This window comes from Homo sapiens, chromosome 4, assembly GCF_000001405.40.
Source record: "Homo sapiens chromosome 4, GRCh38.p14 Primary Assembly".
In the NCBI taxonomy this organism is placed as follows: Eukaryota; Metazoa; Chordata; class Mammalia; order Primates; family Hominidae; genus Homo; species Homo sapiens.
Window position 1 is genome coordinate 158,629,307 of NC_000004.12, and position 12,230 is coordinate 158,641,536.

At 36.9% G+C, this 12,230-nt stretch overlaps 1 protein-coding gene across 25 annotated transcripts in view, besides 1 other annotated feature; it reads left to right on the forward strand.

The window, feature by feature from the left end:
- The window catches only part of RXFP1 (relaxin family peptide receptor 1), a 131,659-nt gene that overhangs the window by 107,593 nt on the left and 11,836 nt on the right, over nt 1-12,230 (forward strand). For 18 of the 25 annotated variants that reach the window (NR_045579.2, NR_045580.2, NR_045581.2 and 15 more), the window contains 3 exons: nt 4,099-4,170; nt 8,702-8,773; nt 9,954-10,025. Coding sequence is in view for 19 of the 25 variants with exons in the window: in NM_001363776.1 (NP_001350705.1) it covers nt 4,099-4,170; nt 8,702-8,773; nt 9,954-10,025 (216 nt within the window). In the remaining 6 variants the exon portion in view is untranslated. The remainder of the gene's footprint in view (nt 1-4,098; nt 4,171-8,701; nt 8,774-9,953; nt 10,026-12,230) is intronic. The other 7 variants (NR_045583.2, XM_011532174.2, XM_017008517.2 and 4 more) reach the window with 2 other exon arrangements.
- Nucleotides 1,631-1,925: a silencer, noted in NCBI's record as "tiled region #15067; K562 Repressive non-DNase unmatched - State 22:ReprW". NCBI's record gives its function as "represses a minimal TATA promoter and a strong SV40 promoter by Sharpr-MPRA in K562 cells {active_cell/tissue: K562}" and the evidence as "EXISTENCE:reporter gene assay evidence [ECO:0000049][PMID:27701403]".

The window sequence follows — 12,230 nt, forward strand, 5'->3', positions numbered from 1 at the left end:
GACCATAAGATTAGAAGATACCACTTTGCTGATTTGAAACCAAAGGATAATCTTGTATCCATAAGGAAATTAGACACTACTGTGGATAATATTCCTACCTATAATAATGGAAGAGATAAATTATTTTTATAATGCCCCTTTTTAATGCCAATGACATAATTCTAAAGGGCACTATAACAATTCTATGATGAACCAAAGCCCGTGGTCTAAGTACATTGTAGTTGATTTTCAGAATAAAATAGATGTAGAACAATGGATGAAGTGCTTATCCTTCAGACCATTTTTTTATATTTTAGTGTCAATTTTTTTCTTTTCATTTTTTGTTTGCTTTTTTTCTAGTACCAGGGTGTCACTCTGTTGCCCAAGCTGAAGTGCAATGGTACAATCATAGCTCACCGTAACCTCGAACTCCTTGGACTCAAGTGATCCTCCCACCTCAGCCTCCTGTGTAGCTACGACTATAGCACACCACCATGCCCAGCCAATTTTTTTTTATTTTTTGTAGAGACAGGGTCTCTGTGTTGCTGGGGCTGGCCTAGAACTCCTGGCCTTAAGCAATCCTCCCGCCTCAGCTTCCCATACTTTTGGTATTACAGACTTGAGCCACTGTGCCCAAGTAGTATCCATCTTCTGGAAAGAATCTGAATGTGGACAGAGCTACTTGTTTTGACAATTAGCTAGACAGAACACTGATTTATTAAAACTTTTCCATAAAAATTAAAGAATACAATTAGAATGTTATGAAAATAACACCAGGACACCTTACTTGGGCACTCAAGAAGTTACAATGTGTTTTTCCTTATGCTAGGTAGAGGGAATACATGTACCAGGAGCAGGAACGTTTCTCAGGTAACAATCCTGCATTCTGCCCCAAAACATCAGGGAATGAGCCATTAAAAACCCAACATTTTATCTGTAGCCTGAAACACTTTTGGTGGTCAGTACCAATCATTCACAAAATGTGCAGGAAAATCTCAAAAACAAATAGACCCAACCATCTGTTGTAGCAACTCCTGGCACGTGATAATTGAACCATATCATCAGCACATAGGAAAGTAGTCTAAATAGTAGGGGGAGATGCAGCTGGATGATCCAAAGTATTATCTAGACATTAGAATACAAGTTAGTCAAGGAATACTAACTATATACTTTTTCTTGTTTCATCCACTTGAAATCATACCTGAATATCAAGGGACAGTTCCTTCAAATCCTAGCCTTCATGGTGGCAGTCAGGTGCAGATTTTATATATCAATAACCAACAGTGAACATGAACTCAAAGGGCTTAGTGCATAACCAATGCTAATCCAGGTTCAGAAGTAAAGGAAAGAATAATACAAACTGCAGAGGGTGACCAAGGCCAATAATTTGTCTTGCTAATTATTAGGTGGACTTTAATGCACCTAATCCCATATTAAACACTTACCTGAAAAATCAGATTCACCAGGACAAAAATAGCATGTTTTCTAAGAGTCGATGGCTTTCATTGGATGAGTCTATATCTAAAGTGTCCTTTTGAGAGAGGGTTGAACTACACTCTGTGCCCCTCCAGGCTCCATCACACCAACAGAGTTAATGAGGACAAAGAGGATTCACTTGTCACAGAGGACTTTAAGTAGCTCTAGTGACAGAAAATCTTTGCCACGTGGGTGACTTAATTTGAGCTTTTAAAGTCAACTACTCTAGTTTACAAGGTGTTTCCTGAGTTCATTCAGAAATGGACCTTGACTCCAATTAAGTTTAGCCTAACTTTCCTAAACTTAAGCTGAGAAAATGGCCCTTTCAAATGTCACTTGGGATCTGGGCCAACACTATCCCATTACATGATTCATGCTGTTAGAACTATCTGCCAGGATTTGCTCTGATAACAAAACCCACACTCCCACCAGTAATTGTTGAACAAGACATTTGGAATTTTAATATCCCAGTGCACCATTTTAAATCCATTTGCACATTGCTTTACTAATATGATCAATATTTTACTTGGCTTCCTATACAAGGAACTGAAATTGTGCCCCACTTTTACTAAAGATGAAGCAGATAGACTCAGTGTATTCATAGTCTTCTAACTGGGGATGGAGAAAACAGCTAGTCCAAAACTGAGCTAGGCACTGGGTAGCCCAGATGAATAGATATCGTTCTTGTACTCAAAGAACTCACGTTTCAGAAAGGAAGCACATATGTACAGAAACAGTTGTAGTATGATGTTATATGTGCTATATGTGTTATATGTGCTATACTAGAAGTGTGCAAGAGGAATGCATAGGAGAACAAAGGACAAAACACTTAACCTCCCTGGGCTCAGAGGTTAAACAGAGGAATGACGTTTGAATGAAGTCTAGAAGGATGAATATGAGATCACAAGGAGGGAAAGAAGAGCATGGGGATTAAAATACTGAAGTGCATTCGGGTCATGGTGAAAAGTTACTTTGGATAGAAAGTGGTAGGCAAGGAGACTGGAAACATAGTCAATGGCAAGACATTTGAATATTTAAAGGTTCATTATGGCCAGGCGCAGTGGCTCACATCTGTAATCCCAGCACTTTGGGAGGCTGAGACGGGATGATCACTTGTGCCCAGGAGTTCAAGACCAGCCTGGGGAACATGAAGAAACCCAGTCTCTATCAAAAATACAAAGATTAGCTGGGCATGGTGGCATATGGCTGTAGTCCCAGCTACTCAGGAGGCTGAGGCGGGAGCATGCTTAAGCCCGGGAGGTGGAGGTTGCAGTGAGCCGTTTGTGCCACTGCACTCACACAATGCGGTTTTGATTTCATCTCCTAAGGTACAGTAAGCTATTGAAGGAGATTCCAACTCTTTATGAAAGAGATGGAATTTTTGAGTAATTCCTTCAGTTGTCTAATCAGAACAATCTGTTGACAATTCACCGATAAATATGTAACTAACAGCAATAGTCTCCAGGTTCAGTTTGCAGCAAAGACGTTTATAATATTTATCACATTATATTAGCCACTTATTTTTAGTTTTAAAAACTCAGTCTAAAAATTGTCCTACCCTTCGAGGTCAAAAAATCTAACGTTTGCCTTATAAGCAAACCAGCATATATAACAAATACATCTATTCATTCTCCTACCTATCCCAGTGGCAACAAATATGATTTGGAGATGAATAGAAGAAAAGGTTAGACTTTCCCTTAGTATCTCTTGATCACCTTACAGAGCTCAAGTCTATTGAAACTTTTTCTTGTATAAAAGAATCTGAGGCCTTTCACATGAGAGCTGCCACTGTCAAAGCTACCACGAGAGGTGCTGCTGTCAAACACCTTTTTAGGACTAAGGTACGAGGTCATACCATGTTAAGCAGACCCTCTACACATACATGAGATGGCATGCAAAGTATCCTACCCCAGGATAATATGAGAGCCTGTGTATATCAGCTGTGGAAGAAACTCGAACTTGAAATAATACACTTCCATAATAATCACAACAATCCTAAGCGGAAGAAAAAAATTAAGATCGCAAACCATGCATCTATTCTAACACACAAAAAAAGAGAACAAAGGAAGAAGGGGCACAACACAGAAATCAAAAGAATGAGAAAATGCGATTGATTAAAACCAGATCAGGCCAGGTGCAGTGGCTCACGCCTGTAATCCCAGGACTTTGGGAGGCTGAGGCGATTGGATCACAAGGTCAGGAGTTCGAGACCAACCTGGCCAACATAGTGAAACCCCGTCTCTACTAAAAATACAAAAATTAGCCAGGCGTGGTAGCACACACCTGTAATCTCACCTACTGGGGAGGCTGAGGCAGGAGAATCACTTGAACCCGGGAGACAGAGGTTGTGGTGTGCCAAAATCGCACCACTACACTCCAGCCTGGGTGACAGAGTGATACTCGGTCTCAAAAAAAAAAGATCAAATACCATCAAGTATTTGTCTTCCAGGGGATGATGAAATGGAATAAAATATTTTTATATTTTCCAACTTTGCTCCTTTTTTAAATTTTTAGACTTCTGGTGATTAATATAACTCACCAATGGCATTGTTGAAAAGTTGTATAGTGGTTTCCTAATGAATTTCAGAACAATGAGTAAAGTCTTAAGAAAATAATATCACATATTTGCAATTATTTCTCCAGGGATTTAGGAAGTAATAAGATTGAAAATCTTCCACCGCTTATATTCAAGGACCTGAAGGAGCTGTCACAATTGTAAGACTGATGTTAATTTTGCCACCTCGTTTCTTTATTTTATTATTTTTTAAATTGTAAAATATGCATAACATAAAATTAGCCATTTTTAAGTGTGTAGTTGAGTAGCATTAGCTACATTCACATTGCTGCCCAACCACCACCACCATCTACCTCCAGAAGTTTTTCATGTTGCAAAACTGAAACTCTAGCCACTAAACACTAACTTCCCACTCACCGTTTCCCCATCCCCTGGCTACCACCATTCTACTTTGTGTCTGTGTGAATTTGACTACTCCAGATACCTCATAGAAGTAAAATCATGGAATATTTATCTTTTTGTGACAGGCCTATTCTACTTAGCATACTGTCTTCAAGTTTCATTTCTGTTGTAGCAGAAATGAATTTCCTTCCTTCTTAAGGCTGAACAATATTTCATTGTGTATATGTATTGCAGTGTTTATTCACCCATCAATGGACATTTTAGTTGCTTCCATCTTTTGCCTATTGTGGATAATGTTGCTATGAACATGGGCGTACAAATATCTGTTGACTCTGCTTTCAATTTTTAGGTACCTACTCTCAAAAGTAGAATTGCTGTTTCATACATTTCTGTCATTTTATTTTTAATGCATGTTTCATTCTGTTTTCCATAGGAGTTTAACCATTTTACATTTCCGCTAGTAGTATACTAGGGTTTCCATTTCTCCACATCCTTCCCAACACTTGGTATTTTCTGTTTTTTTGATAATAGGCATGCTAATGGATGTGAAATGGTATCTCACTGTGATTTTGTTTTGTGATTCCCAGTGATTAGTGATGTTGAGCAACTTTTCATGTGCTTATTGGCCATTTGGATACCTTCTTGCAGAAAAATCTGTTCAAGTCATTCACTCATTTTTCAATTGGATTGTTCAGGTTTTCTGTAGTTGTTAGATTGTTGGAGTTCTTATATATTCTGGATGTTAACTTCTTTTCAGATACATGATTTTCAAATATTTTCTCCCATTGTATGGGCTGCCTTTTCACTCTATTATGGTGTCCTTTGATGCACAAAAGTTTTTAATTTATGTATAGTCTAATTTTTAAATTTCTTTTTTTGTTACTTATGCTTTTGGTGTCATATCCAAAATAACACCAAATGTCATTGGTGTCATGTCATGAAGCTTTTCCTGTATGATTTCTTCTAAGAGTCTTATAGTTTTTAGCTTTAATATTTAGGTCTTAAATCCATTTTGAGTTAACTTATGTACATGGTGTAAGGTAAGGATCCAACTTCATTCTTTTGCATGTGGATGTCCAGTTTTCTCAACACAATTTATTGAAAAGACTACTCTTTCCCCATTGAATGTCCTTGGCACCCTTGTTGAAAATCATTTGACCATATATCTGTGAGTTTATTCCTGAGCTCTCTATTCTATTCCATTAGTCTACATGTCTGTATTTCAGCCAGTACCACACTGATTGCTGTAGCTTTGTAGTATGTTTTGAAATTAAGTGGTGTAAAATCTCCAATTTTGTTCTGCTTTTTTCAAGATTGTTTGGCTATGTGGGCTCCCTGCATTTTCCATATGAATTTTAGGATGGATTTTCATATTTCTGCAAAAAAAAAAGGCAATGGGATTTTGGCAGGTTGCTTTGAATCTGTAGCTCACTTTGAGCAATACTGACATCTTAATATTAAGTCTTCTGATCTGTGAACATAGCATGTCTTTCCTTTCATTGGTGTCTTCCTTATTTTCTTTCAGCAATGTTTCGCAGTTGCCAGGGTATTTATCTTTCACCTCCTTGGTTAAGTTTATTTAAGTATATTATTCTTTTGATGCTATTGTAAATGGAATTCTTTTCCTCATTTTCTTTTGTGATTATTCATTGCATATAGAAACACAGCTGATTTTTGTGTGTTAATTTTATATCCAGGAATGTTGATGAATGTTTTAGTTCAAATGGATTTCTTTTTAGTTAAATCTTTAGGATATTCTACATATAAGATTACATCACCTGTAAACAGAGATCATTTTTTTCTTCTTTTACAATTTGGATGCCTGCCTTTCACTTTTTTTTCTTGCCGAATTGTTCTAATTAGGACTTCCAACATTATGTTGAATGAAAGTGGTAAAAGCAGGAATCCTTGTCTTGTTCCCACTCTTAAGGGAAAGCTTTTGGTCTTTTACCATTGAGTGTGGGTTTTCATATACATCCTTTATTATGTGAGGTAGTTTCCTTTTATTTTTAGTTTGCTGAGTCCACTTCATTTTTTTATACAACCCATTGGTCATTGTCATTCTTTCTCTCTTTCCTTCTTTCTGTAACTGTGGCTCCCCCAGCAGTTCCTTCCATCCCCCATGTAACTTATGGTCTAATCTTCAGTAAATATTTTTGTTTATTTCCTCTTTTTTTTTAATTTTGTTTTTGTAGAGATGGGGGCCTCATTATGTTGCCCAGGCTGCTCATATTGGACTTCAAGGCTCATGCCATTCTCTCACCTCGGCCTCCCAAAATGCTGCGATTACAGGCATGAGCCACCACACCCAGTCTAAATATTTTAAAAAGAGAAATTTTCCTGAGAAGTTTCCTTTAATCAATGATTCTTGTTTCAAGGTGTTGTTTTTCAAAGATTCTGAAATTTTCTCCATTTAAATTTACCTTTCAGTTCTCTTTAAGAAGGCAGGTGCTTGTAGTCCCAGTGAGTTGAGAAGCTGGGGCAGGAGGATCCCTTGAGCCCAGGAGTTTGAGTACAGCCTGAGCAACATAGCAAGTCCCCATCTCTAAAAAATTAAAATATAACAATAAATTCCCTTTAAAGTCTACTTTTCATTTCATGTTTCATGACTTAAGATTTATTGTAAAATATATGATATATTATTCCATTAATTCAAATTTTGACTAAATGAGATTATTTTATTTCATTTTGTTTAAACCATATCTGATCTTAGGCAAAATGTGAAGTAGATGCGGCTCTTTCTCAGTCCCCTACCACTTCTCTGGTGGCAGCCCTTTCTTGACAGCTCCGCCTTCATGCCTATGTTTTATTAGGTCTCAGTCTATCACTACCGTAATCACAGAGTATCTACCACAAGCTGGGCACTGTTCTAAGTGTTTTATCTTAATTAATTCACTTACATGTACAATCAACCCTGTGAGGCCAATGCTATTGCTATCTCTTTATTTCACTGACAAACAAAAATTGTATATATTTATCAGTACAACATGATGTTTTGAAATATGTATACATTGTGGAATGCCTAAATTGGGCTAATTAACATATGCATCATCTCACATACTTATTTTTTGTGGTGAGAACACTTAACGTCTACTCTCTTAGCAATTTTCAAGAATACAATACATTGTTATTTGCTATAGTCAGCATGTTACACAATAGATGTCTTGAACTTATTCCTCTTTTCTAAGTGAAATTTTTGTACCTTTTGACCAATATATTCCAATCCTTTCCCACCTGCCTCTAGTGACCACCTTCTACTCTCTACTTCCATGAGTTCAACTTTTTTAGATTCCACATATAAATGAGATCATGTGGTAATTGTCTTTCTATGCCTGACTTACTTCATGTAGCATAATGTCCTCCAGATTCATTCATGTTGTTGCAAATGACAGGATTTTCTGTGTTTTTTAAGGCTGAATAGTATTCTATTGTGTATGTATACATATTTTTTTATCAAGTCATCCTTTGATGGACACTTGGGTTGAATCCATACCTTGGCTATTATGAATAATGCTGCAATGAATATGGGAGTACAGAAATCTCTTTAATATACTGATTTTATTTCCTTTGGATATATATCCAGTAGAGGAATTTCTGGATCATGTAGTAGTTCAATTTTTGATTTTTGAGGAAGCCCCATACTATTTTCCATAATGGTTGTACTAATTTATATTCCCATCACCAGTATGCAAGGGGCAACCTTTTCTTCAAATCATCCTCAACCCTTATCTTTCATCTTTTTGATAAAAATTATTCTAAAAGGTGTGAGGTAATATTGTGGTTTCAGTTTGCATTTCTCTGATGATTAGTGATGTTGAGCACTTTTTCATATACCTGTTAGTCATTTATATGTCTTCTTTTGAAAAATGTCTATTCAAGCCCTTTCCCTAATTTTTAACCAGCTTATTTGTTTTCTTGCTGAGTTGTTTGAGTTCCTTACACATTTTGGGTATTAACCACTTACCAGATATATGATTTGCAAATATTGTCCCCCATTACACAGGTTGTCTCCTCACTCTGTTGATTGTTTCCTTAGCTGTGCAGAGGCTTTTTAGTTTTATGTAATCCCATTCATCTATTTCACTTTTGTTGCCTATATTTTTGGGGCAATATCCAAAAAAATCATCACCCAGGTTAATGTCCTGGGGCTTTCCACCTATGTTTTCTTCTAGTCGTTTTATAATTTTACAGTTTAAGTCTTTCATCCATTACGAGTTATTGTATACTTTCGTTCATAAATATGTTAAAGTAACCCAAAATAAACAGATTCACTCGCTTTACTCATGTAGTTTTTAGAAATGACCTATTGCTGCTTTTTTTAAAAAACAGGAATCTTTCCTATAATCCAATCCAGAAAATTCAAGCAAACCAATTTGATTATCTTGTCAAACTCAAGTCTCTGTAAGTATTCACATATGGGGATAGTTTTATGATAAAATTGTTTTTTAAATACTAACAATGTATATTTTTATATATTTACTTCAAATCATAAGCTTTATTTCCAAGACATTAGTTTAGCTCCACAAAAACATATGGGTGCTTGCTGAACTATAAACAGACAACTATTAGTTTTATCTTATATACTTGTAAATTAAAAAATAATGATGAATTATTTTATATTTTTCTATAAGTCATTAGGAGCTTATGTTGATTTGTTTGCTTTGACCCTTCAAAGACATCTGTGCATATTCACTCTCTTAACACTGGGTATTTTATAATTTATTATAAGTGTTTTTACCCCAAGATGGAATATGCTAGATTATATAAATCCTTACTTGTACCACACACACACAAAAAGACAAAAATTCTGTTAGAGCCAAAGAATTGCCTTAAAAGATAAGCTTCAGGGCTGAGTGCAGTGGTTCACACCTGTAAACTCAGCACTTTGGGAGTCCGAAGCAGGAGGATTGCTTGAGATCAGGAGTTGAAGAACAACCTGGGCAACATAGGGAGATGCTGCCTCTACAAAAAAATAAAAATAAGCAAATTAGTTGAGTGTGGTGGCATGCACCTGTGGTCCTAGCTACTTGGGAGGCTGAGGTGGGAACATTGCTTGAGTTGGGAGGTTGAGGCTGCAGTAAGCCCTGTTCATACCACCACACCAGCCTGGGCAACAGAGGAAGACCCTGTCTCAAAAAAAAAAAAAAAAGGTAAGCTTCAGTTCATTTAATTTGAGTGTTCCCTCAGTAAAATGACATTTTATTAGAAAAAAATTTATTAATTAAAAATTACTAGGAAATTTTCAAGGATGTAAAGCATCCTCTGCTATTGTAATATTGTACAAAAGATAATGCTTGTGCATTTATTCCACACATATTTATTGATTAGTTAAAATGCACAAAGCATTGTGCCATGATCTGTGAGGATCTGAAAAAAATCAAATAAGGAAGATAATACGTGTATAAATAACACAATCAGAAGGAGGAGGATTTGGGGAAGTGGGTGGGTTGAGTATAATTATTTTGTTCAGAGTAAGTGTTAACTAAAAGCATTTTATTAAATTGTCCTTCACAGAAACTCAATTTATTAAACCATGTATAATACATGTTCCTTTGATTGATTATTAATTTGATATTTTTAGCAGCCTAGAAGGGATTGAAATTTCAAATATCCAACAAAGGATGTTTAGACCTCTTATGAATCTCTCTCACATGTAAGTAGATATTTTATTGTTTTTCACTGTGATGTTAATATTTGTTTCCATGTGTATTATGATAATGCATCCAATCTATTAATATTTTCTACTAATTTGCCAGCTATAAACTGAAAGTTTGTGTTCCTCCAAAATGTATATATTGAAATACTAACCCCAATGCAATGGTACAAGGAGGTAGGGCCTTTGGGAGGTGACTAGGTCATGAGGACAGAGCCCTCATGAGTGGGATTAGTGCCCTTAGAAAACAGACTCTGGTCCAGGCCAGTGGCTCATGCCTGTAATCCCAGCACTTTGGGCGGCCGAGGTGGGTGGATCACCTGAGGTCAAGAGTTCAAGACCAGCCTGGCCAACATGGTGAAACCTCGTCTCTACTAAAAATACAAAAATTAGCCAGTCGTGGTGGTGATTCCAGCTACTCAGGAGGCTGAGGCAGGAGAATCGCTTGAACCCTGGAGGTGGAGGTTGCAGTGAGCCAAGATGGTGCCACTGCACTCCAGCCTGGGCGACAGAGTGAGACTCCATCTCAAAAAGAAAAAAAAAGAAAAGAAAAGAGACTCTGGAGACGACCCTTGCCCCTCCACCTTGTGAAGACAGACAGAGAAGATGGCCATCTATGAAACATGTGGTCCCCTACCAGACACTGAATCTGCTGGCACCTTGATCTTGGTCTTCCCAGCCTCCAGAACTGTGAGAAATGAACATTTGTCGTCTAAGTCACTCAGTCTATGGTATTTTTGTTACAGCAGCCAAGTGGACTGAGACATGTCTAAACAATAATTAAAACTCTTAAACCTTTGATATTGGGTGAGATGATTTTAGTTTTCCACAGTCTGGTAGAATCTCATAGGAGATTTTTTGAATCTCAGGAAACATGATGTGAGGGGAATCCACTTGGTCTTGTAAGAAGTTCTCCTCAGCTCTAATAACTGTTCACAGATATTGATGTTTGCCTAATGAGCTAGTAATTGGTGTATAGGGTGTGTTAGTCCATTTTGCATTACTACAAAGGAATATCGGAGGCTCGGTAGTTTATAAGGAAGAGTTTATTTTGGCTCACAGTTCTGTAAGTTGTAAGAGAAGCATGGTACCAACCTCTAATTTTGGTGAGGTCGTCAGGAAAGCTTTTAATCATGGCAGAGGACAAAGAGGGAGTAGGTGTGTCAAATGGCGAGAGAGAAAGCCAGAGAGAGAAGAGGAGGTGCCAGCTCTTTTTAACAATCAGATTTCATGTGAAATAATAGAAGGAGAACTCACTTATTACTGCAGGAAGGACACCACACCATTCATGAGGGATCTACCCCATGACCCAAACACCTCCTACTGGGCCCCACCTCCAACATTGGGAATCAACTTTTGACATGAGATTTGGAGTAGACAAATATCCAAACTATATCACATGGTACAAGTGCTACCAGATGAAGAGGAAGGAATTTATATAGGCAATATAAAATAATTATAAATAAATCAATGCTGCAAATGAAGGTAGTTAAGAAGAAGTCTTTCTCAATGAAAATATCCCCATATATCAAGGCATGATTCAAGCAAGCGTGCATGGATGAAATGGTAAACTTTGAAACATCTTTTATTCAAAGAGTATGTCTAGTTGTACCTGTGATTACATGCTTTAGAAGCACTTTTTTAATTGAATGCAATTTCATAGCAGTTATTAGAATGATCCATGCCATGGAAATTAATTTTCAATAATTTAGATACTGTCAGCTACCATCAACTCTGTAATCTTGCTTGTATTTTAAGTCTAACACAGAACCCTGTTTTTGTTTTCCATAGTTCCTCAGAAAGATGGCTTATAAAAGATTCCTTTCTTGTATGCAACATAAAGCAATCTGACTAAATTAAACAGAACAGAATTTATTGGAAGAAAATGGTATAACACAGAATCTGAGGAATAATTTATAGCCTCTGGAATTATCCATCCAAGTGTCATTCAATCAGATTCAGTTTCAGGGAAGAGAATCTAGTTGATCACGTCTAGGGTACTTACCTACTCTGGGCTAGGGATTGCCTCCACTGAAGGTCCCACCATAACTTCTCAAAAAGGGAGAAGTAATTCTCTCAAAGGAAATCAGAACACTATTATCAGAAGAGTGATTGAGTGCTGGGCAGCCAAAGCGGCAAACAGAGTTACTATAATTCTGTTGATAAAAGCAAAACTTCAGCCTAAGACACATAGTAAAATACCAA